Below are 26,332 nucleotides of genomic sequence, written 5' to 3' on the forward strand. Positions count from 1 at the left end.
TCCTGACCTCAGATGATTTGCCCTCCTTAGCCTCCCAAAATGCTGGGATTACAGGCGTGAGCCACTGCACCCAGACAAGAATGGGTAAATTGTACAAGTTGTGTAAGTTGGCGTTGCGTCAACTTGCCAACTTGTGTGTTGACATTGTTAGATTCATGACCGGATTTCAAGTCTCCAGGGTCCCAGACCAGCACTTTTTCTTTTCTCTATTCTACTAAGGAATTGACTGTGGAATATCTGTTAATTGTAGATATTACCATATGGTCCCTCCTCCTTGTAACAATAGGTGTTGGTTTCAAAGATGGAAGTCAGACATAGAGTCAAGGGCAGGTTATCCTTAGGGACAATCACAGGTGATTATGTAGATTATTCTACTTTGACCAGGCATACTCAGTAAAAATTCCCAGAAAATTCTTAGGAAACCCAAGTTAACTCTGTATAGCCAGACAAGGTAATGCAGGTATTGAAACGCAGTTTTCCAATAATTTATTTGACACTTCCTTTTGCTTCATGTGAAGGCAGCCCTAAATTCTGCACTGGGACAAACAGTTGAGTCGCCGATGTTGCTTAATATAGGCTTGTTCTATAGAAGAAAAAAGTTTTGCCTGTAAAAACATAGCTTGCACGCTTCTGTTAGTTCTCTCTGAAGTTTTACATTTATGACAAGTTATCCATTTTTCTCTATTTTCCCTCTCCTCTGAAAGAAAACCAATATCTATATATATTAGGTGACAATTCTGGTAGATAAATTTGACATGTAATCCCACTGATTTATTTTATTTTAAATCTGCAATAAGAACTCAAATAATCAGTCAAGAGACATATTTTTTTTTCCTTTGCCTGCATTGCTCTATGAGATAATGATGAGACCAAGCCGATTTATCTCAATTCTGAGGGGCTTTTTATCAGCCATACCTGTATCATCCGGTAGCCATCTGAAATGTTTCACATTAGGTCTAACTGCAATACGGTCAACCGACCGTCTGATATAGATCATTAATCTCACACTTCAAAGGAAGAAGAATTTCTGTGGGAAGTTTTCACATCTGGTATTCTACTTGCTGATTTTTTTCATCCAAATCCTGATAATTGATTGCCAAATCTCTATCATCACATACAAGGCCCAGCACAAAGAAAATAAAGTTGTGTTTTTTTAAGTCACTTTGTATTTAAAAGAATGTATAACACTGATTCTTTTTTAAAGCAATATATAGCTATTTGCATAAGAAAGTCAGAAGATATAAAAAACTAAATGACAAAAGAAGTCATCTGTGAAAGAGAGGATTATAAAGGTTGCTTGCCTTTTCTGTTTGCATTTAAATTTTTTCTGCAATAACTATTATTACCTGGATAATTTAAAGTTAAGTTTTTAAGAACTAGAGTATATATAATTTCCATTATTTAAATAATAAACAATTTAATGCAAAGATTACTTTTATTTAAGGGGAAAATGACTGTGCTTAGTAATTATTAAACATGTGGTACTTATAATAGGGAAGGAATAAAATATATTTGAACTTTGTATTTTTATACAACAAATCTGGGTTAAAAACTAGGCTATATAATATTGGTAAGACTACCAGATAAAATACAGGACACCAGATTAAATTTGAATTCCAGATCCCAATAGATGATTTTTTAATATAAAAAAATTGAGAACATATTTATATTAAAATTTTTTTGTTGTATATTAGAAATTCAAATTTAACTTAAAGTCCATTGTTTTTATTTGCAAAATTTGGCAACTACAAAAATTGGATCTCAGTTTTGTCCTGTGTCACATGGAGAGAGTTTCACTCAGATCATTGGTTACTCTGAGGATTATAGGAGAACACCATCATAGATAGATTTTCTGTGAAGTTACCAAAGCTTGCACTTTACCTCCTCTGCATGGCCTACATGCGCAGTCTTATACATAGTTTTATATTTATAAATTTCTTAAACCTTCTCTTTGCCCTTAATTATATAAGCTTTGGGACTCTCAAAATTTCCATCTGCTTTTGGAAAACATATTACTGTTTACCTATTAGCTTGCACATAGATGGCACTCAGTAAGTCCCCTTTTCAAACAATAGGGATGCTATGAAGTTAATTCCTCTCTTGTGAATAAGACAGGTGACCGCCAAATGGCTGTCCTCACATTAGACTTCTGTATCCCTAAGTTCCAAAGTGCCATCCTCTAAAACGTGGCACAAGTCTCCCCTCTATCCCCAGATTGACAACACCTTCCCCATACTTTGTGAATGGGGAAGCATTAAGCATTGATATTTCCAGAAATTGACAGTGTGGGGCTCCTATTTGATGAGAGCTTTGGAAAGTCTGTAAATAATAATAAGTGATCCTGACTGTTTGCTACACAGCGGGTTACTCTACAGAATTTGCAATAAAGGCTGCTCAGGGCCTTAGGCAGCAGACTCCATTCCCATGAACTTAGCTGCTATACAAACTGTCAGACTCCATCTCTCCTGGAATCAGGCACACATATGTAGATGACCAGGCATTTCAAACTCATTAATCACTAGGAGCTTACATTAAATATGATAAAGGCAAAGAATCCATTCCCTCAAATTTGTGCAATGCTGTCATTTTTCCCTCTTCTTCCCAGATATCCTGCTTCCCACTAATAGCTACCAATCACTCAGTGTCTACTTCATAAGGAACCATGAGAAAAATTCCTCATGCATCTCAGGAACAGGAACAACTGTGCTGTCTCTCACAGCAGTGTGATTTTGGCCAGCAACATGGGTAGTCTCATGACTAATTGTGCTTTCAAACTATATTTGCCTGGATTATTAGGATAGTCTGTTTCAAAATTACCACCAACATGCAGGAACCTATCAGAACGCTAAGACCAGTATGGCAGGCACCAACATTACTGCTTCAATATATATTTTCTTCCAGCTTATCTTTCTTCTTGCTTTAATTTCCACAGATTGGTCTGTTTTTCTTCCACTGGTATGTGTATATTTCTGGAGACTACCTCAAGTTCTCTTTTCAAAGGAGAAGTATTACATAAATACATACATAAATAAATATTTATTTAGCAGCACTGAGGGAACATTCTGGTTAAATCTTTGGTCAGGACTTATTTGTATCAAGAGCATTGGAGGTCTGACTTTCCCAACTTAATTCTCTAGCATCGTGTGGAGGTGCAAATGGTAGGTGACATATTATTTGCTAAAATTTTAATATGAAAAAATATGATTCCATTGTATAGGAGGTAAACAAAAAAGTAAAATTGGACTTAATTTAGTTTGGCAGTTATATTAATAAGATGGAATTTGAGTGTTAGTTGAAGGGATACATTTCGATTTATGAGGTACTGGAGTAGGTCAAGAAATGTTTTCTTTTCAGTTATTACCACCCCCGGCTGGAGGCAAGTCTAGAAGTGGGGTGTGCAAGGACAGAGCTGATGGCTCTTTATGAGTGCCCACAGAAATATAATTATATGAATTCCAAGAAACTAGTAGCCTTCCTTTGTTGGCAGCCAGGTAAGTCAATAGAGACTCAGGAGGGAGTCTACTCTTGGTTTGGGAAAAAACTTAGACCAAAAAATGAATCATAGTAGAAAAGAGACCAGAGAGAGGGTTGTTTGCCTTCCCTCATGAAGAAGAATTAGTTTTCAGTACCCTGCTGAAGAAAAACAGGATTCTTTGCATTCATACATGCATTTCTCCTCCTTCTCTCAGGTCAATAACTCTGGATATCTCTTACAGAAGAATACTGCTATAGCACACTTGCTATACATTTTATTTAGTGATAATCCCTCAGTACTTACAAAGAGTTCCTGCTATTCTGACTATAAAATACATTTTTAATTGTTAAATTTTATATTAAAATTTTTAAAGCAACCTGAAAAAGTACATTTTGGAAAGTGTTTGGAAAAAGTACATTTTGGAAAATACCATTATAGAATGACATGAATTTTAATGCTGCTTTGTGTTGTGTTGGCAATACCTGAATCTGCAATTGAGAAGGTAATGGATCTTTCATAATCTCGGGGCTATTAATTGAATATGAGACTTGCATAAAAAAATTTGCATCTTGGAACTTGAGCATGGAACCACTCTGAGTATTGTATTCTTTCACTCCATAAAAAGGATCATTTTTTAAATGGACTAGTTTTTTGAAACTACATTGGGAGGAAAGAAAATTCAAAAGAAAACATTTGTAAAATTAAACCAATGGACTATTGATCTGCAAAGAATATTTGCTCAAAAAGGTGACAAAAATCAACATGAATTTTGGTTGCCAAGACCTTTTTCCAGCTTTTCACAACTGGTGCTTTCAGGGCTTTGGCAGAGTTTGACACATGCACCCAGCCTGGCAGCTCTGTGTTCAGGCGCTTGTGTAAGCACTGGACTCATACAAGGGTGTCCCACGTTGCTCATTTATGGAATCACAGCAAAAGTTTTACCTTCCTTCCTCTTCCACTATTATCACTGTACGTATTGTGAGATGAACATTGTCATATACTAAAATTTACATACAACTGTATTTTTTGTTAACAGAGACCAAAAGGGGATATAATAAGAAAGCACAGTAACTTATTATTAGCAGTCTTAATAAAAAAGCAAGGTGGGGCCAGGTGTGGTGGCTCATGCCTGTAATCCCAGCACTTTGGGAGGCCGAGGCGGGCAGATCAAGAGGTCAGGAGATAGAGACAAGCCTGGCTAACACTGTGAAACACTGTCTCTACTAAAAATACAAAAAATTAGCCAGGCGTGGTGGCACACACCTCTAGTCCCAGCTACTCGGGAGGCTGAGGCAGGAGAATCTCTTGTACCCAGGAGGCAGAGGTTACAGTGAGCCCAGATTGTGCCACTGCACTCCATCCTGGGGAACACAGCAAGACTCCATCTCAAAAAAATAAATAAAATAAAATAAAGGAAGGTGGAAATGTCCACTTCATAGCTTATTCACCTCAGAGATATTATTACTAGGTTGAGGCTGAAGATTAAGGGTCGAAGTTGATGTTGGTTGACATGTAACTGCCTGAAGTCTGAATAGGGAGTTAATTTTGCAAATTAACCACTATGACTCCAAGTCTGCACTGAGACATTCACTGGCACTTTCGGTTCATTGTCCTTGGACCCCTTCTGTCCAATTTCCAGGCCAGAATTGAAGTTTGAAAATTGCTGGTAGACTACTATAATCTCTATTTCAGGGAAAGTAAGAATGAGTGCCAATATGAAAGGAGAATCTCCCCTCCATACTCAGTAACTTTCTTCTTTATATAGATTGATAAAGCAGGCTTCTTTTGTAATTACTCACTCATTAGTGTAATTCAGTTGCTGGCACAGATCTTATTTAAGCCCCGTTGACATAAAATGGACTAGCCTCTATGACAAAAGTTCTATCAGCAGACAGATATATAAATATATTTCACTGCGATTAGATCTTCACGATAACTACAAAGTAAAAGGCTGTGAATTGTTATGTTACATTAGATATGAGAAAATTGAAGCTCTATTAGTTTAAATGACTTGTCTCGGTCAATTAGAGTAAAAGCAGCAGAGTTGAGACTCAAGCCCTGCTAGGCGTTCCACCTGCAAATACTATGCTCCTTCATCTATATTATGCAATCTCCTCTTCATTAATAGATAAGACAGTAAAAATAGTCATTTTACTGGTTGCCGTTGTGGCCAGAAGTTGACATTTCTCTGTTGAAAATTGTTCACACTGAATATACACCCTCTGAGAAGTTACTCTGGCATTGAATTAACCTGCACTGCTTTAACTTTTCCACTTTTTCCCCAACTTTTACATTAACATCAGAAACTAATAGCAATATTAAGGACATAAATGTAATCATGTATTTGAACATATTTCGAGGGCTACTGAAGAAGCCTCCTTATTTTAGGATAATTATCAGAGTTCCACTGGAGTTGTCTCAGTGTAGGAAGTTCCATAGCTAGTCTTCGTAGATTGGGGTTATCAGCAGTCTTCAAACTTGGGGGTCACAGCATCCCAGAAGGGGCTCTTACTCTAGCCCTGGCTGATTCCAAAGATACAAGAATGTTTAATGTAAGAAACAGTTTTAGAAAAATGAGACAAATTATATTAAAATTTGCCTTAAGTTCACATTTATTTACGTGAACTCTTTGGCATAAGGCATTTAATACTCTCTTTAAAAAACATGGATGTGAATAAGTGAAGTAAAACATATACAGGGAAAAAGGATTCCAAGTTATTGCAGATAATTACTTTTCAGGTCAATTTTTATTTCTTTAAACCACTCACTTATCCATAGGAGTCAAGGCTTTGACTAACACAAAGTCTAACACTAGAATTTGAAAGCAGACTTTATTCATTTGCATAAAAGATAAAGCCTGCCACCAAGAAAGGATTTTGTCTTTCTTATAAAGAAGCCAACATTACCCTAAGCCATAATAAGTTTTGAACACTAGGTTTCTTGTTTGTAGATTGTATGACTAATATGAAAGACAATTACTAAATAGTATAAACTCAAGTTACATCCTTCTATCCTCTCATTTCTCAATATCTTCAAATAAAACAATGCCATTTTGGACACAGGCTAATGGAACTGGAATGTGCTTCAGGGCAAAGAACTTGGTAAGCAAGGAAAGTCATAAAATTATGCCTTTTTTTTTTTAAATTAAGAGAGACTAATGGTGCACTTTTCTGTTTAAGATATGCCAAAAATGAAATTAGAAGATGTGTTGTCTAAATTTTTACTCCTTCAGAAAGCATTTATTTTTCTCATACTTTCTGCTTGAAGTGTGAGTACTATGGTGTCACTGAATTCAAAGCTATTTTTATTTTTGTAATTTGCAGCTAAATCTGATCCCAAAAGATGGTTGTTAAGGATGAACATGGCTCTTTCCACTGAATTTTCAGTAAAATAATTATAATGGGGATTGATTGGTGGATTAACATAAAAATTAAAATACAAAATCCCCTTGTTCTTACATGGCAAAATAAGGTAAAATCTCTTATTCTTAACTGCCTTTTCCTGAAACAGTGTATAATTCCACCATTTGTTCTCTTTAAAAGAAAGATTTGGGCTAGAGAGAGACAGCTTAAACTCGTCTCATCTGCTTGCACCGCTCTCCAAGTAGGTAATTGCAGAAAGAAAAGACAATTCTTTGATCTCAGCGAGGTGCTAATTTGTAAGATTTTTGAGCTGTTTGGGCCTTAGGAAGCAGGGATCAGTACGTAAACAATGGCATTTATCTGGCAGCCTATTACTGACACATTACTATCTCAGTACTTATTCATTTACACTGGTGTTTGAAGACAGGACTATGTGTCAATAAAGGAATTAGACCAGACACCTCAGTCCATCAGGTTTATTTCAGTTTGCTGACAGGAACAGTAGGTGACATTAAGCAACAGAAAACACTTCAAAGTTTTCTATCCTTGGTTTTGCAATGAAGACAAACAACATTTACTGCTTTAGCAGCAACAAACAATGAGCGTAAGACTGCAGAGGGAAGATGAAAGAGCACACCAAATTATCAAACACAAAGCCTGCCCCTACCCCATTTCTACTCATCCCCTGAATTTCATTAGAGCGATTTTTTAAAAAGAGCTTCCAGTGATAAGTTGTGTTCATTTGGACCTCTTAGAAGACAACTCTCTTGAGAAGGACGGTAGGAAATGAATGAATAAGAAAATTTTACTTGACTGTTCAGTAGCTACTTTTTTTTTTTTTGACCAACTTTTCTTTTAAGTTCCAGGGTACCTGTGCAGGATGTGCAAGTTTGTTACATAGGGAAACGTGTGCCATGGTAGTTTGCTGCACAGATCAACCCATCACCAGGTATTAAGCCCGGCACCCATTGGCTGTTCTTCCTGGTGTTCTCCCTCCCACCCGCCACAGGCCCCCGTGTGTGTTGTTGCCCCCGATGTGTCCATGTGTTCTCATCGTTAAGTTCCCACTTGTAAGTGAGAACATGCGGTGTTTGGTTTTCTGTTCCTCAGCAGCTACTCTTAATTAAATATTTCAATATTCATTTATTTAAACATCTTTTCAATAAACAGTCAAGGTGTGTCCACTATAAACTAGACCTGAATAAAGATGATACTATTACTTTTACAGATTCCTGGAACTATGAAAGGTAACATGAAGTTATAATACAGCACCATCTTAGGCAAATGCAAGGTTGTATTTGAGGCGCTGTGGAAATAAGGTAGATGAACTGTGTCTCAGAGGGATTGCCAAATGCTCAAATGGATTGGGAAATGTTTTTCAATTAACATGTAAATTGAAAAACACTTGAAAGAAATACTTTCCTGCATCATCAAATAAAAATTCCTCTCAGATTTCTTCCTCTGTACATCTCAATTTGGAATGATTTACCAGTGTTTGGGTATGCTTTACATACAACTTTGTTAAAATTTTGAAATATAGATTAATTAGCTTATTCAGTAAATATTCATTGAATGAATGTTATAGCACTCCTTGTTCTAGCCCGACACAGTGCACAGAACAAGACAGTCTAGATCCTTGTTTTTATGTGGGATGGAAAACAATGAACTGAAAATGTTGTGATGCTGAAAATTACATAAAGGGAAAGAACAAAGTGGTGGGATAAAGAGTGAGTGGAAGGAGGTGGAAGTAACATTAATAAAATTGGTACTGTAGACTGAGTGGTCATGAAAAAAAACTGTAATGATAGGAAGTAATCATGAAGTAAAAGGAACATTTAGGCAGCGGGAAGAACAGATAGGACAATATATTGACATGCTGGAAAAACAAAGGGCTGGACAATATATTGACATGCTGGAAAAACAAAGGGCTGGTCTAGAGAAGGGATAGTGAACGAGGGAGAGAGTGAGGTAGCAGATGAAAGCTGGAGAGGAAAATGGGGGAGAGGCTATACTGAGGAAGGGAGGGGATATTAGGAGATGAAGGCATAGACATAAAGGAGATCAATTTGTAGGTGATTTCAAGTACTGGTAATAATTTTAGAACATACTCTATTTAGAAGGTATTCTAGTTTTGCTTAACCCATATGCAGCATTTGACCTTGTTAATTTCTCCTTCCTCATGGAAACCCTTTGCTGCTTGGCTTTCAGACACCACACTCTCCTGGTTACCTCCATCTTCACTGGCTGCCCCTTCTCAGTCTCCTTTGCTGGCTCTTCCTCATCTTCCAGTTTACAATGGAGTGTCTCAGGGCTCCGTCTTCAGACTTCTTCCCTTTTCTATTTACATTCACTTCCTCCATGATCTCACTCAGTCTCACGGCTTCAAACAACATCTGTAACAGAATGACTACCAAAATTATATTTCCAGCCTCTACCTCTCCTTTCAAATCCACATTTAAACATCCAACTGCTTACTTGGCATCTTGGCTTGGATGTGCAATCTGCATCTCGAATGCACCCATCCTAAAACCAAGTTTCGTGATATTCTCCCCTAAATCTCTTCTTCCCTTAGACTTCCTTATTTTAAGTAATGGCTGTTCCAGACTTTCAGTTGATCAGACTAAAAACCCTGGATCCATCCTTGCTCCCTCTGTGCCCCCTCCTCACAGATGCTGAGCATGTTTTCGGCTCACCCAGTTCTAACATTTCACCTAAAGTAGAGCAGTAGAGTTCTAAGTGGTCTCCCCACCTTGGCCTTTGTTCCCCTTCAGACAATCCTCATCGCAGTAGCCTGTGTTCCTTCTAAACCCTAAGCCAGAGCCTGTCTCTTCCCTGCTCAGCACCGTACTCAGAGTCTACAAGGACTCAGGCCCTCCCTAACCTAGACTCTGTCATCTCTCTAACATCATCTTGAATTCTCCCCACCTCTCTCACTCTGCTTCTTGCTGTTCCTGCACTTGCTTTTTCTGCTCCGTGGAATGCTATTACCCTCAAACTCCACCTCCTTTCTGACTCACCTTCTTCAGGTCTTTACTGAAAAGGCATCTTCACAATAAGGCCTTTGCTGACAACCCTATTGAAAGTTGTAATGCCTCCAAACCCCATCTCCTTGCCTAGCTCCCTGCTTTATTTTTCTCCAAAGCATTTATCACTATTTAACATGCTATCTGATTCACTTTTTTTTGGTTTATTATCTATTTCCCCTCATTAGAGTGTAAGTTACATTTGGCAGGGATTTTTGTCTGTCTATTCACTGCCATCTCCCCAGCAATGAGAATAGTGCTAGGAACATACTAATCAGATACTAATATATGTCAAATTAAAAAGTGGGAATCTGTGCAAAAACTTAAAAGCAGGAGGTGACAAAGTCTGACTGTGCTTTGAGATGATCATTCTGACCACTCTGTAGAGAATGGATTGGGTGCAGCAGGGGTTGGAGTTGAAAATGTAAATAGAAACACCATTTAGGAAGCAAGAGCAGTAGTCCAAGTAAGAGGTAATGGTAGCTGGGACTAAGTGATATTAGTAGAGATGAGGAGAAGTGGATGTGTCCAAAATTTGTTTAGGGGGCTGACTTAATAACATTTATAATTACTTTACAGCCAGAATATATCTGGTTATTTCTATGTTGAACACAGATATACAGCTTCTCAACTCTGATTGCTTTTTCTCCTTATACAAAGAATACTCAAATGAATGCTAATAAACTGGTTCTTGTTGGAGAGAGTTTAGGCAATGATCTAAGATGATTCCTAGATTTTCAGCTTGAATTACCTGGTAGGTGAAGGTATCATTTACTGAGAGAGAGATAAGGGTAGGAAACAATTTTAGGAATTATTTCATTTGAGGTACCTCTTAGACATGGAATAAATGAGAAAAAGGCAATCGGTTATATAAACATACCCTACAGTAGAGAGGTCAACTATAGTGATACAAATTTGAAAGTCATAATGTGTAAATGGTTTTTAAAACTGTGGAACTAGATAAGCTAATGCAAGAAGAAAATCAAGATGGAAGAGAAATGAGGGTTCTGGAACATACCAGCATCTAGAAATTGAACAGAGGAGTCCAGCCAAAGAGGCTGAGAAGGAACATTCTGGAAGCATGGCATTTATTGAGAGGAAATTTTATTCCCCTCATTAGTAAACATGAATTACAAAAAATAGTAATTATTGTATTTTGAATTTTGTATTTAGAAAATTTTGTATTTAGAAATGTATTTAGAAATGTATTTAGAAGATTTGTTTTTTCTCATTATCTTTCATTTTGCTTCTTCCCACAAAGCCTAAAAGGACTAAAATATTTGCTATTTTGTCCTCATAGAAAAAGTTTGCTGACCCTACTTTAGACTATTTTTTTTAACACAAGGTCTCTGTCACTCAGGCTGGAGTGCCGTGGTATGATCACAGCTCACTGTAACCTTGACTTCCCAGGCTCAAGCAATTCTCCCATCCCAGCCTCCCAAGTAGCTGGGACTGCAGGTGCACACCACCATGCCTGCCTAATTAAAGAAAACTTGTAGAGACAGGGTCTCCCTATGTTGCTCAGGCTGTTCTTGAACTCCTGGCCTCAAGTGATCCTTCTGCCTCAGCCTCCCAAAGTGCTGGGATTACAAGTGTGAGCCACTGCACCCAGCCTAGACTAATTCTTTCACATTGCTGAAAGATAAACTGAGACCTGGAAATTTTAGCTTGCTTTTCAGGGTTACCCAGAAGGAGATCTATGACTCAAAGCCAGGCCTGAATGTCTGGTTGCATTTCTATTCCAATATGCCATTCTGTATCTCTGTTGTGTACACAATAGGCTAGCAAATATTTATCTCATAAAATATGACAGAAACTTAATTATATTATTGAAATGTTTTTTCAATAAAATACTTAATAAATGCAACAACATTCCAATAGCAGAATATACTTGATTAATAGGATGTAATTTAGTGTTAATTAAAAGACAGCCATTTGACTTATTTAATTTAAATTCAATTGAGAGAAATCTATCTGTCTGACTGAACTGTTAAATTTTTTTAAATAGTGTAAAGGATTATGAAAATTACCCAAGTAATTAATGTCAATGAATGGTGTGCAATCCTAAGTGTTTAGATAGGTATCTTTTCTTGCTTGTACCTCAAACTAGAGAATTAATAATAGGTACCAGGGTAAGGTGGGAAATCATTTTGGGCTTGGGAATTAGTAGTTGGTACCATTCTTTTCTGTCGTTCTACATTCTCCAAATGTCTTCATTCCTCACACACTCAAAACTTACAAATTTCCCATAACCACATTTCTCAAATATTTACCATTAATTTTTCTGTATTGTTGTTAAATGCACACAGCATAAACTGTGCCATCTTAATAATTTTTAAGTGTAGAATTCAATAATGGTAAGTATATTCACGTTGTTGTAAAGCCAATCACCAGAAACTTAATTTTGAAAACTGAAACTCTATACACATTAAGCAATGACTCCTCACTTTTTCTTCCCACTAGTCTCTGGCAACCACCATTCTGTTTTCTGTTTCTATGAATTTGATGGCTCTAGTTACCTAATATAAGTGGAATCAAACAGTATTTATCTTTTTGTGACTGACTTATTTCATGAATGTAATGTCCACAAGGTTTATCCATATTGTATCACAGGTCAGAATTTCTTTCTTTTTTAAGGCTGAATAATATTCCGTTGCATGTATTAAATATACATCATATATTGTTTATCCATTCATCTCTTGACAGACATGTAGGTTGCTTCCGCCTCCTGGCGATTGTGAATAATGCGGCCATGAACATCGGTGCACAACCATTTCTTTTATAACCTGGATTACATGTCCTCAACTCTCACTGCTTTTCTCCTCAGAGCATTTAAACTATTTTTCATGATATTTTTGACTCATGAGAATGATCTTTAAAGAAATGAAGAGAAGGCACCTCTCCATTAGGAGTGTTAAGCAAGTGTAGGAAACCCTCCCTGTAAATGTCTTTTTTTGCTACCTTGACTAAGATTGGGGTGCCCATCCCTGGACCATTCTAAAAACACAATATTATTGAAGAAAGTATGGAAAGAGAAAGGGGCCCAGCATCAAGAAACACGTGTATAGGCTAATTGGGTAGATTTATTAGCACGTGGTAGAAACGTGTATAGGCTAATTGGTAGATTGGGTAGATTTATACCTGAGTCCCCAGGAAGCTATTGCAGGAAGACACTTTTAATAAATTGCCCATGTTTAGTAGTTGGCTGCAGGCAGGGCACAGTCTTGAGCACCTGGCTAGGGAACCAAAAGTTAGACCAATGTGCTTAGAAAGTAACAAAACTGTACATTTTTATAAGTACAGCATTCATTATAAGCAAAACTTATAAAACTTTGTAAATCTGAATTTATTATGAACTAGCCATAGATGAAGCCTCTCTGTGATTAGAAAGATGTGAATTTGAGTCTTGGCCCTCCTGCTAGCTATGACTTTTGACAAACCACTGAGCTACACTGAGCCTCCTATTCCTCACCTCTTATACAGAAATTATAATGCCTGCCTTGTGGGCTTATTTTGAGTACTGCAATACAGATAACATTCAGTAAATGGTAGCTCTTTTTTCTACTTTGATATCTACAATTGTTAATGATAGAGGCTGAAGGTCAGGCTAAGGAAACTCTTCTTTTCTCATGGGAACACACAAATTATCAATGCAAAAGAAAAATTTTAGTATTAGTAAAAATTGAAGTCCTAACTTAACATACACATACATGGAATCACAAATGTGACAAAATGTATCCATTATAAATGTCTTTTCTTCTGAAACTTTAGATGCTAAACATAGGTACTTTTGAAAAAATACACATATTCCAGGTTTGTGAGTAATTCAGTATTTATAAAGCTGGTATTTAGACATTAATGCCATTTGGAGAAATGGTACTTTTCATTCTGTCTGTGCTTGGATTAATGTTATGCATCAGAGTCTAAGAATCCCCTAAATAAATACCATATATTTCTGAATGTTGACTTTCTGATTCTGCAGCCAATCCTTTTAATGAATTTCAATGCACAATTCAAAGTCAGCATCCTATTTCCTAAAAGCCCATAGTCAAATTGTGGACAGTTTCCTTAATGTGTTGAGGGTCCTAGTAAGGCACATACAGCTTATTAGTTGCTAATTGCTCCTATTCAGGAATGAATATTACTCAGGTTTTTTTTGTTTTCTTTTGTTTTGTTTTTTTGAGACAGCGTCTCACTCTGTCCCCCAGGCTGGAGTGCAGTGGCACAATCTCGGTTCACTGTACCCGCGCCACCCGGGTTCAAGCAATTCTCCTGCCCCAGCCTCCCAAGTAGTTGGGATTATAGGCATATGCCACCACGCCTGGCTAGTTTTTGTATTTTTAATAGAGACGGGGTTTCACCATGTTGGCCAGGCTAGTCTTGAACTTCTGACTTCAGGTGATCCACCCGCCTTGGCCTCCCAAAGTTCTGGGGTTACAGGCGTGAGCCACGGCACCTGGCCTCAGAGTATTTTTAAGAGAACGGTAAACATGAGTGTAGGAAAATGCAGGGAAATGACCCTTGAAAATGTAAATTTCTCTGGACCTGCTGTTCATGTCTCTGCTCCTGTGTCACCTTACAACCAATGTTTCAACCCTTTGGAGGAACAGAATGGATACAGATTACCTGTTCCATGTTCGTCAAGAAGGGGAAGTATTTTTATGGGGAATGTTGATTCTCATACACTTCAAGTCCAGTTAATCACCCATCTACATCGTAAGAGGGAAGGCTGCCTTGATCATCAATGAACTATATTCCTTTATGGGTATTCAGGTATTGTCTAAGAAACTGAAAGGGGCAGAATGGGACTTCATAAATAAATATGTTTATCCAACATATGTGTGTTGAACACCGGCATATGTTCCATCACCATGGTGAGACACAGTGATGTGTAGCCTGAAGTCCCATCCCAAAGTTTCTTAGTATTATGAGAGAGAAGATATACATAATTATAGCTAATACTTATTGGGCACTTACTAAGGACATTTACGTATATTAATTTGTAATCTGCACAACAAGCTTTGAAGTTGGTACTATTAGTCTTCCCCCTCCCCATAATATTGAGGCAGCAAGGATTAGTCCTTGCTCAGGGTCACATAAATAGCCAGGAATTAAATCTCAGGAAATCTGACCCTTCAAAACATAGTGATTCTCTTGCACACACACAAAAGCACTGTGGCAAAAAGTGATGGATATCAGAACATGGGAAGATATATTGAAATTGGGTTTCAGAAAAGGTATCCAGAAGGCTGACCTTCAAATGGGGCTTTGAATATTAGATAAGACCTGGATGTGAGGAGGAAAGTGAGGAACTGGAAAGGTTGGTAAAAGCTCAAGGTCTGTAAAGATATAGAAATTGCTATGGAGCATAGCATGCATGAGAGATTGTTGGTTGTGAAGAGGCAAGTTGCTCCAGCCCATAGAAGACTGTGAAATGCAAGATTTAATGATTATTACTTTATTTGGTAGGTAAAGGGCAGCCAGTGAAAAAATCCTCAACAGAAAATGGACATATTTTGAAGTGGTTCTTTAGGAAGATTAAGCTATATGTTTGCAGATGGAATTAGTGGAGAGACAGACTGAAGGCAGGGAAAAGTCAGGATGCTATTGCTTACTTAAAAGTTAAAATCCTAACTATGCAAAGAATAATAAAGGTTTAAGCTAGAACATTGTTAATGCAGACTGAGAAAGAGATGGATATCAGAAAATACAGATGAGATACAGTATCAACAGAACTGAACACAGTAGCAGATTTCAGCAGAACAGTTCCTGAAAGGAGCCTCGAAAGATGTACTTGGTTTTTATTAGGTAGAAAGGAGGTAGGCAAACATTCTTAGTGGAGAAAATAAGCAAATATTAGTTTCTGTCTTTCTTCAACTATTTTGAGAATACCCAGCCTTCAGAATCCTACCCTGGCACTGACTAGGATTTCTGTCTTATCAGTCTTGACCTCCCCTAAAATGATTATGAGATATCCAGTGGGTACTCATTATAGACCTGACGATTTTCAAATGGAGAGAATAACTGTGGGTTATTGGAAGTTATATATTCATGTCTCCTACATAATGAAATGATTTTTAATGCTGAATCAATGTTGGGTTTTTTTTTTAATTTCTCTTTTTTTTCCTTTTATTAAAATCAGAAAAGTCTTTCAGAATGATTACTGATTCAGATATTTTAAGGAATTAAAAGTTTTTTTCTTACAGATTAACACTGTTCTACTGTTAGAAGTTAAAAGAAATCATGTAACTATGGCTAATATTTATCCTACACAGATTGCTTTTATGAAAGCATCTTTGTGTGTGTAAAAGTGCTCAAAATTGGGAAAATACTTATACATTAGCCACCTGGTTAGAGTGGCTACAGAATATACAAGCGTATAAAGGCTATTTTATGTATTTTACATTTTTAAAATAACATCTATTACTTGTGGTTAGTGATCTTTCATTGCCTTTAATTTGTGGACACTTTCTAACCACCACTTGTGGGTCTTCAGGGAGCAAACCCTTTCACAGAAACTTTTATTTGCCACCATGAAGACTGTGAGGATAGAGAGACAATTCAATATTTATCCTGTGTTTAACAACATCCTTTGAGAGTTGAAGCAAGACTTTCAATATGTAAAACCGTAGAAGAAAATAATCCTCAAATCCAACAACTCCCTAGAATTCTGTGGAGAATGGGTCAAATGGGGCTGTTCCAAGTACATCAAGTCTAGGAAGTACTTCCCAGCATATTTCACAAAAGAATGGCTTGAAACAATGTAACCCCAGAAAAATAAAGTAAAGCTCTAAGGGAAAAAATAAAGACTATTGGAGTGTATTCTTATGAGATATAGACTTATTCTCACCCAGTCGTCTGTGTCTCAGTAAAGTCATGGGCCTGACAAAGTCATCTCTTCCATTTTCTAAGTGCAGGACACAGATAGACATTCTACCTTGCTGAATTCCAGTCTTTCCACATGTAAATTAAAGAAAATTATACCTGATTGACTCACATATATCATGGGGTACTGTGTGGGTCAGAATCAAAATAAGGTATGTTTTATAAACTGTGACATATTATACATAGGTAAGATGTTATTATCTTGAAATGTAGTTGATAACATATTATACATAGGTAAGATGTTTGTTCTTATCTTGAAATGTAGTTGATAATACCCTATCTTTTCTACCTTGTAGACAGGTTGTAAAGACAGATATGGTAACAGATACCAAAACTAAAGGCTTGGAAAGAAAATATATAATCTCTCATTACCTTTTATTTAATTTTATTAACATAGTAATAATGAAGAAATCCCATCTGTTTTGGCCTTCACTCTGTGGGAAAAAACTGAAGTGCTGGATTGATTTTCTTTTGACTCAAATAGAAGACTTAAATCTGGAAAAACTACACTTTAGCAAGTTGAGGATATATGACTAGGCTATATCTATAACAAGGGGTGTTTAATTGTATATTCTTTCAGCATATTCCTACCTTGAAAGTGTAAAGGTATCATTTTTTTCTTTAAATGGAAGGCTAGGACTCAGACTTTCATCCCTGAACTTGTTAAAGACATGATGTTTCAAACTGTAGTGCTTTGTTGATTCTGAAGAATATTCAAACATTTAATAATGGAGGCAAATTTGTTCCTATGACCTGCCCTTTAAAGTTCTCTATCCTGCTGGTTCCCAACAGAAACAGGTTCAATGCCAAGTAAGAGACTCAGAACAAAGCAACTTAAAATCAAAGCAGGGAGTAATTACATTTTTCATATTTTTATTTGTTCATTTTTCAGCGAAAGGCAAATAGCTAGATTATGTGCTGTCAAGTTTAGAAGCTCAATTAATTTTTAGATCAAGGCAAAGTACAGCATTTCAGTCAAAAATATTCATTGTTTCTCACTTACATGCTGAGTTGAATCACCTTAAAAGACATCAGCATAATATGGATGTTTGAAGGCTCTTGAGATTCCTAAAGAAAAGAAAATGGGCTCAAAACAAAGAAAGTGCACTGATTTTAACAGGGTCCACATCAGCCATTCTGTTGATGCAGTTTTAACAATGATTACAAGAAGGTGCTCAGGGACTTAGCTGTACATATATTAGAATTATAAAAGAGTGGCACTAAAACATTTTGGTTGAAGAAATCACTTCTTACTGTATCTGTAAGTTTAAAAGACTCTCCTCTTTAATATCAAGTAAGTAAACAAAATATTGGATATTTGATTATGATATAGTGAAGTTTGCCCAGGGATAATAAATTAATAGTGAGATAATATTTTAAATCCTGCCATCCTTTAATTGAGGCAGCAGCTAGACTTTAGAAATTCACACAAGAATGTAGATTGCAACATAATCAAATTTCTAACTTTTGAATTCAAAAGTCTAGCCATGACCATAAGACAAAAGATTAGTAAGAAGAAAATCAGAGGAGTAAGTGGAAGCTCGTGTTCTCTGTCCCCTTGATTTCTCTATAGAGAACAACGTGAGTTGGGAAAGAAAAGAGTCAGAGGGAAACAGAACCTTCCAAAGAGCTACAGTACTTTGCCTCTGTCTCAGAGTTAAATAACTATGGGAGGGAATAGCAGACATGTTTGGGAGACCTGAAAGCAGAAGAAAACTGTTTCCTCTTTCCTAAGTGAGCCTGGAAATGACTGTGCTGCATCTAGGACAAAGGGCTTGAGCTGTCCCACAGAGTCCCCTGCATCTAGGACAAAGGGCTTGAGCTGTCCCACAGAGTCCCCTGCATCTAGGCTTGGAGTGGAAGTAGTAGAATGGTTCCATTGCATTCAAGAGCAGCTAGGAGTTGATGAGGTCTTTTAGAGGCAGCCCTGGCAAAGTACCTGTAGCCTCAGTATGGAAGAGAAGTAGCAGAAAATCCTGCTATCAATGAAAGTAGCACTAAGTTCAACAAGATAGCTGGTAGATGTGAATAGCCCTTTCTATTGGAAATATAATACAATCCTCCGTGCTCTCCTCAAAATACTTTGGTGCTATGGAAATCTAGCTCTAGGTACTACAGCTCCAGGTACTAAATACTAGGTCTGATGGGTGAGGTTAGAAATTGCCTGAGATCAAGTTTCTATCATCTGGCATTATGAGAGCTTGCAAAGTTCACAAAGAGAAAAAAGAGACTTTGCATATTTGCTCCTTATTTGAAATTTACATACGACAAATTACATTTCTCATAATAAACTAGGGAATATGTAAGCCCTGGGCCTTTCTGGAAACACTCCTCTAGCTTCCTTCCCAGTTCTTCATTCCTTGGGTTTGAGTTCTCTGTAGCTCACTGCCAAATCACTTTCTCTTTATCGTTACCCAGAAGCCTGTCTAATTCAAGCAATGGGTTAGACTCCTGTCTTCATGGTAGTTTTTATGATAACTTTATTTGATCATATCTACTCGAGTAAAACTCTTAATATACTTTAATAGCTTATGCCTTTTTCAAAGTACCATATTACCTTCAGCAAGCGGAAGAATCAGACACGTTGATGGAGACTTGTCATCATATGAGTATTTTAAATAGTTTGTAGTTACTACCCTCCGAGTCACGCCCTTTCTCTACCTTGATTGGCTGAGTTTGTGCCTAAACATGAGTAGTCACACTCAACATACCAGAATGTCTTTAAAGGATATGTTGAGAAATTTCTTGCCTCCTCTTCCTTTTTCCTCCACCTATAACCCAAGTGCGTATTACTGCCACACTCCCGTTCAACACACCTCTACTTCAGCTTGCTTCCTTCAGAAACTGGGTTTCCTTATATAACTTCTTTGTGACAAAACATCTGTTTTTTTTTTTTTTTTGATTAACACAATATTCATTTTTTAACTTTTCATTCCAGCTGTTTGGCTTGGAGGAATCCTCAGAACCTAAGGAAAAATGAAGTCTCAGTCCTATAAGTTGAGTGAAGTACAGTGTTCCTTTGAGCTACCAAATTGTACTAGTTAACCTAAAGTGACCTCTCTGGTTTTTAAGTGGCCAATTTAAACCACACTCTATAAAAGGGACCATACTATATAGCTTGAGTAAACTTTGAGAGTGGTGTCTATAATTAGAATGCTATACCGAAATGACTTGCTGGCATGTTGTCATCTGTGCATACTGAATACATTTCCATAAAATTGTTTCAGTTAATTTTTCTTTGGGTTCCATCGTGGGGAGCCTGCAATTCACTGCCCTTGTACTTCTTCTACTGCCAATGAGTCCCTGTGAGCACCAGCACGTCACTGAGATCTTCTTAGCTACATGAGTGGTCTGCCCATGGTTTTTTTCTCATGCTTGTGTTGGGTAGGGGTGGCGGGGAAGGGAGAGAGTGGGAGATGGGAGAATCAAAGTTTTAAAAAAAGAAATCTAAGTGTTGTTTTAAGCATTAATGCTAAGCTCCAGATATACCTCTTTCTCGGGGTGGTGTATTCTGCAACCAAGAATGCTGAACATTTAAAAATGAAGGTCAGGAAAAAAAAAAACTATGTCTTCATTTTAAAAAGTTTCCCATCCACTATTATTTCACTTCCCCCTGTCTTTGGTTACACTGGCCACTGCTTTAGCACAGGGATTGAAAAGGTTTGTAAGTAAAGCCTTATGAGGTCTCAGCTGTAACTACTCAACTCTGCATTTGAAGCTAGAAACCAGAGATGACGTGTAAGTCAATAGGCATAGCAGTATTCCAATAAAACTTTATTTGTGGGTACTGAAATTTGAATTTCATATAATTTTAACGTGATAAAATATTTTTGATTTTTTTCATCTTCTTAGTAATGTAGAAGCCATTCTGAACTTACAGGGTATAGGAAAACAGCAAGAGGGATGGGTTTGGCTCTCAGGTCACAGTTTGGAGACCCCTGCTTCAGCACTACCTAGGTATGGAGAATCATAGTCACTTCCTTGGCTCAGCATAAAAACAACTGTTTGTTGTATAACTTCAACTTGACTATTCCCTCCAGCCACAGCCAAACATCATGGATGAGGAGGAGTTTTCATTCATCCTTCAAATGCTTCCATTTCTTAGCTTCCAACAGCTTCTATGATGCAGCAGGAAAAGTTCTCAGCTACTTACAGCCTATGCTGGTGCCCCTGGGTGTCCCAGACACCAGATCTGATTATTACCACACGACTCCAATGTCATTCATGCAGGCCAATTTGCTTTGGCCATCTAAAAAAAGCTGCCTCCGTCTGTCTCTGTGGGTAAATTCTGTAGTGGAAATGAGCAGGCCTTTGCTTTCAGAACACAAGCCCAGAGGGCACTTTTGGCACTGGGACTCTTGCAGAGAGCGCCAAACCACAGCTGTGAAAGGAGTGTGAAGGGGGATGTCTGCAACGGCCCAGGAAATAGCCACCCAGCTGGAAAGGGATGTCAGGAAGTGAGACAGCTTAGGGACAGATCAGGCCTCAGAGGAGTGTGAGCAGCTGGCACTGGTACCCTCTTTTAACTTGCTAGCATGATGTGAGACTCCAGGCCTCCGTGACTGCCACTGACTCCCTTTCCCTTCCTTGGCAATCCATTCAACCCTCTACTCCCCCAGCATTACCCAGTTCTAACTAGAGAAACGGAGTGTGCCAGGTTCTAGAGGATACTTCCTCTTCTTGGTCCTGGAGAAATGAATATTTATCCTTTGAAAACAAAAAAAAAGACTCTTTTCATACCTTTGACTCCGATTGTCAATATCCATTTGCTTTCAAAATTTCATCGCAGAAATCTTTCCCAGTTGCTTCTCTGCTCTTATTCTCACTTCCTTTTCTCCATACCTACAGAATGTTACATATGTCTATATATGCATTCAGCTTTTGCAGCACTGTGATTTGTAATATAATTTTGGTTTTCTTGGCCATCTCTTCTAGATTATTAGAGACCTTGGGACAAGAACAGTGATTTATATTCTTTGTATCACGAATTATCCCTCGTATATTGTTCTGCACATAGTGGATCATCCGTTAGTCCATTTCGTTAATGAAATGTGTAGGGGAGCTTTTCTGAAGATGCCTATGCTGGGCAGGCTGTCATTGTTCACACATTTACCTTTTCTCTAATAGTTGCTGATGTCTGCATTCTCTTCATACCATTCCACTGGTGCACTTTTTGTCACAAGATGTGAGGATGATCTGGCTGCAACAATCATTACCCCACTAATCTCTAGTGCCAATTTGATGGAACTGGCTATTAGGATTTGCCACTATTTGCCTTTTTTTCTTTAGCCATTGTCTCTATCAACTAAATATAATACATATATCTACACACATATTCTATTTATTTCAATCACCTATTTCCTTTAAGACCATAAAATATAATAATCCATAATTATATCACAAAAATGATCACTGCTAACATTTTAACACCAAATTCTTTATTCTGCTTCAGCCTTTATTTTTAATTATCTTCTCAAAATATTTACTAATGTACTATTTTTTGAGGAGATCAATAGATTCAGAGTTATATATCAAATAAGCCAGTCCAGAAATTCTATTGACAGATAGAAAATAACTATAGGTGTGACATAAATTAATTTGTTTTCTTATGAGTGTATTTGTTTTATTTATAGCAAGGAATACTGATTCTTCATCTGTACTGATAATACATACTTTTCTTACTACATATGTTAACTTAAGTAAAAAAAGTCACTTGACATGCGGACACAGCAAAAGCCATCGAGAATGATAAGGTGAATTGTTCAAGTTTGGGACACGCTGTCTGAATTTATCACTGACTTATACACTGTACAAGGCACCATGCAAGGCACTGAAGTAGAGTCACGGGTGAGTAAGACATGGGTTCGCCTACTTAAAGCATTCAAGAGATTTCTCACTATGATGTTGTAAAACAGCTGCACACCATGCTTTCTGAGGCAAATATTTTCACCTCTACTATGAAACAGTGAAATAGAAGCTAGATGTTCAATAATAATCAATGTGCTGTAGAGTAGCTTGAAAGGTCTTTGAGGCTAGTCTTCTTTCCTAATTAACACAGCTCAAATGTGGCACTTGGGTGGCTTGGTCATGAAATTTTGGTAGTGTAATTTTGGCAGGGAATGGCAGTGGTGCAGGTTCCATGGTTTTACAAGTTCTGCAGCATTTGTGAAATTGTGGCTTACTGAGATAAGGGGAGATAGACTGTAGTGTAAATTGGGTTGCGCTGAACAGACAGATAGTATAATTGGCAATCACATTGTTAGCGACTACCAGCACCTCTGAGGCACTTGGTCTTTTTGAGGGAGTAGAAGGAGGGTAGAGAAACTGAACTCATTAGTTGGCTTTAAAATCTATTACTTGTAAAATGGTGCAGCCACTATGGAAAGCACAATGGCAGTTCCTCAAAAAAATTAAAATATGATCCAACAATTTCACTTCTAGGCATGCATCCAAAAGAAATGAAAGCAGGGACTTGGACAGATATTTTTACATCATGTTCATGGCACCATTATTCACAATATGGAAGCAACCCAAGTGCCCATTGACTGATAAATGGACAAAATGCAGTATATACATACATACCATGCAATATTATTCAGCCTTACGAAGGAAGGTAACTATGACACATGTTACACATGGATAAACTTAAAGACATTATGCGGAGTGAAATAAGTCAGTTGCAAAAGGAAAAATACTGTGTGATACTACTTATGTGAGGTACCAAGAGCAGTCAAATTCACAGAGACAGAAAGTGGAATAGTGGTTGCCAGGGGTTGGGGGAGGAAAGAATGGGGGGTTATTGTTTAAGGGGTATAGAGTTTGTATTTGGGAAGTTAAAAAGTTCTGGAGATAGATGGTGGTGATGGTTGCACAACAATGTGAAGGTACTTAATGCCGCTGAACTGTACGCTTAAAAATGGTTAAAATGGGCAGGTGCGGTGGCTCACACCTGTAATCCCAGCACTTTGGGAGGCTGAGTCAGGTGGAATACCTGAGGTCAGGAGTTTGAGACCAGCCTGGCCAACATGGCGAAACCCCGTCTATACTAAAAACACAAAAATTAGCCAGGCGTGGTGGTGCACACTTCTAGTCCCAGCTACGCGGGAGGCTGAGGCAGGAAAATCACTTGAACCTGAGAGGGAGAGCAGTTGAGATCGTGCTACTATACTCCAGCCTGGGCGACAGAGTGAGACTCTATCTCACAAAGAAAAAAAATGGTTAAAATGGTAAGTGTTGTTATGTATATTTTATCACAATTTAAATAAGAATAAAAGAAAAGAATCTAGTTTTCCTAACTTTTTCTTCTTAGAGTAGCTCTCTCCTGTGTTCCATGTGTGAACACAGTCTCTGCCAGTGGTCCACATTGTACAGCAGGCCAGATGCAATGCATGTGTACGACAAAGGGGTCATGTTCCAGATTGAGTTTTTGTTTTTCTATTTTATAATAACCCCATAACAAACCCTTTGCTTCCAGGTAGCTTTACGCCTGCTGGAATCTATTTCTTTGAAATGGAAAGTTTCACCACAGTACAAGTGTAACATTTTGTCTTTGCTCCTTGAAATGTTGTAAGCCACAGTTTAACAGGCAAACAATGGTGGAGGCCAATGAAATTACCCTTGGACAAAGGGTCTGCTGAGCAGTGTACTCTTGCCTCTACCATCAGTTTCCTTCATGAAATGAGCCAAACATTGACTGAGGCTCAGAGTGGAAAAGAATTTGTCCAAATTGGGCTCTAATGATAAAGAAGTATAAAGGAAAAAAAATTCCTTGGGAAAATTGATGCTGCTCCCTTCAGTTTTTGTAGACTATTTCCTATAATCTGCCTTGTGGCTTACCTTGCACTAAAGGAAAGCAATCCTTTCCTGTTAACATAACAAATAAAGACAAATCAGCAGGCTACTTAATGTGATGGTGAAGCATGGGCTCTGAAGTCAGTCTGCTTGTATCCCAGTCTTACCTCTAGCTGAGTGATCTAGGGCCTAGTTATGTAACCTCAGTTTCCTTATATGTAAAACAGGATGATAGTAATGGTATCGACCCCATGAAGTTGCTGTATGGATGAAATGAGTTATTATTTGTAAAGCACTTAAAGCAGAATGTGGTACCTAGTGTGGACTATATAAATACTCACTATTATTATTAGCTCCAGCATGCAGAGATAAACTCTCCAGGGCTGCTTGAAGGGTACAATGGCATCCTCATTACTGACTCAGGATGATGTGATGGAGCATGCACTTACAAGAGTTGGACAACTCATATTTCAGCTCAGGTGCAACCATTTATGCACTGTGTGACCTCAAACAAGTCACCTGAATACTTGAGCCTGAGTTTCATCACTACTAGAATTAGCAGTAAAAGAAACTGCCTTTTTCAGTCTCTTAATGTATAACTGTATGCATGCAAGTTGTAAAGGCTGTAATATTTCTGTTAGAATTATTATCTCTTCTTCTCTGTTTCTTTTACCTCTGGCCTGAAAGAAAGCGGAAAGAAAGCCTTTATTTTAAAAACATAATAGATATTTTAAATGATAGAAGTGGTATATATTTAATATACAAAATATGAAAAATAAGGAAAAGTATCTTAAAAATTCATTATTTTACACCTTAGAAAAAGCCACTATTAACGTTATGCTCTTTCTTAGTTACAATAATGTGTCTTAATGCTTAAGGTTTCTGTGTAGTTTTTTCTCTTCTCTGGGGCAAGATCGCAGTTGAGAAGGCCTATATATGAAACAAATTAAATGCTCTTGATTTTTTAAAGCTTCATTTTGTATAAGAAAATGGAAGATTTTATGTTCAGACTTATTGCTACAGGAAGAAAATGATAATAATTTGGCTATGTTTACAATGTCATATGAGAAGTAATTTCAAATATGCCTAATTCCATAGTATACCAAAAAATTAAAAATGGCTTTAATTTAATGTATTTTATTTCACTAATACTATGTACACCTGGGTAAAGAAGATAATGAATTATAAAGTTCTACAGTAAGGCCAGGCACAATGGCTCACGCCTGTAATCCTAGTGCTTTGTGAGGCTGAGGCAGGAGGACTACTTGAGGCCAGGAATTTGAGACCAGATTGGGTAACACAGCAAAGCTCCATCTCTACAGATTTTGTTTTTTTAATTAGCAGAGCATGGTGGTGCACGTGTAGTCCTATCTACTTGGGAAGCTGAGGTAGGTGGATTGCTTGAGCCCAAGAATAGAGGCTGTAGTAAGCTATGCATATTCCATTGCACTCCAGCCTGGGTAACAGAGAGAGACCTTGTCTCCAAATCAAACAAAAATAAAAACAAAGTCCTACAGTGTTTGCATGTATGACCTTAACAACTGTAAACAAAAATAAGGGCTTTCTTAAAGTGAGGCTATTTCTCTACTTGGAAGCAATCAATCCAAATAAACTCATTTCTGGAGAAATGAGTTGTCGGTCTGTGTTAGAAATGAATTTACCAAGGCTGGGTCATGACAGTAGTGTGGTTCAATTTCTCCATTGCTTATTTAAATTGCTATTGGGGTGAGAAAGCCTTGGGAAAAGCTGGCAGAAGACTTGGAAGAATCTAGGTGACTTCCTGCCTTTTAATAGTC

General features: G+C 37.5%; 1 long non-coding RNA gene across 2 annotated transcripts, besides 2 other annotated features; it reads right to left on the reverse strand.

Moving 5' to 3' along the window:
• Positions 1-5,357: 5,357 nt before the first annotated feature.
• Positions 5,358-25,014, reverse strand: LNCAROD (lncRNA activating regulator of DKK1). 2 transcript variants are annotated; one of them, NR_120641.1, is made up of 4 exons: positions 24,878-25,014; positions 17,749-17,813; positions 9,067-9,230; positions 5,358-5,998 (listed from the first exon to the last, which is right to left on the reverse strand). It is a non-coding gene; the product is annotated as a lncRNA activating regulator of DKK1 (long non-coding RNA). The 2 variants fall into 2 exon arrangements; NR_120642.1 differs by lacking the exons at positions 17,749-17,813; positions 24,878-25,014 and adding an exon at positions 9,587-9,753.
• Positions 6,806-7,674: an enhancer, noted in NCBI's record as "NANOG hESC enhancer chr10:54212085-54212953 (GRCh37/hg19 assembly coordinates)". NCBI's record gives its function as "activates a minimal SCP1, AML or CMV promoter by ChIP-STARR-seq in naive H9 embryonic stem cells {active_cell/tissue: H9 hESC(naive)}" and the evidence as "EXISTENCE:reporter gene assay evidence [ECO:0000049][PMID:30033119]".
• Positions 24,264-24,856: an enhancer, noted in NCBI's record as "OCT4-NANOG hESC enhancer chr10:54229543-54230135 (GRCh37/hg19 assembly coordinates)". NCBI's record gives its function as "activates a minimal SCP1, AML or CMV promoter by ChIP-STARR-seq in primed H9 embryonic stem cells {active_cell/tissue: H9 hESC(primed)}" and the evidence as "EXISTENCE:reporter gene assay evidence [ECO:0000049][PMID:30033119]".
• Positions 25,015-26,332: the final 1,318 nt, after the last annotated feature.

This window comes from Homo sapiens, chromosome 10 (assembly GCF_000001405.40).
Source record: "Homo sapiens chromosome 10, GRCh38.p14 Primary Assembly".
Classification (NCBI taxonomy): domain Eukaryota; kingdom Metazoa; phylum Chordata; class Mammalia; order Primates; family Hominidae; genus Homo; species Homo sapiens.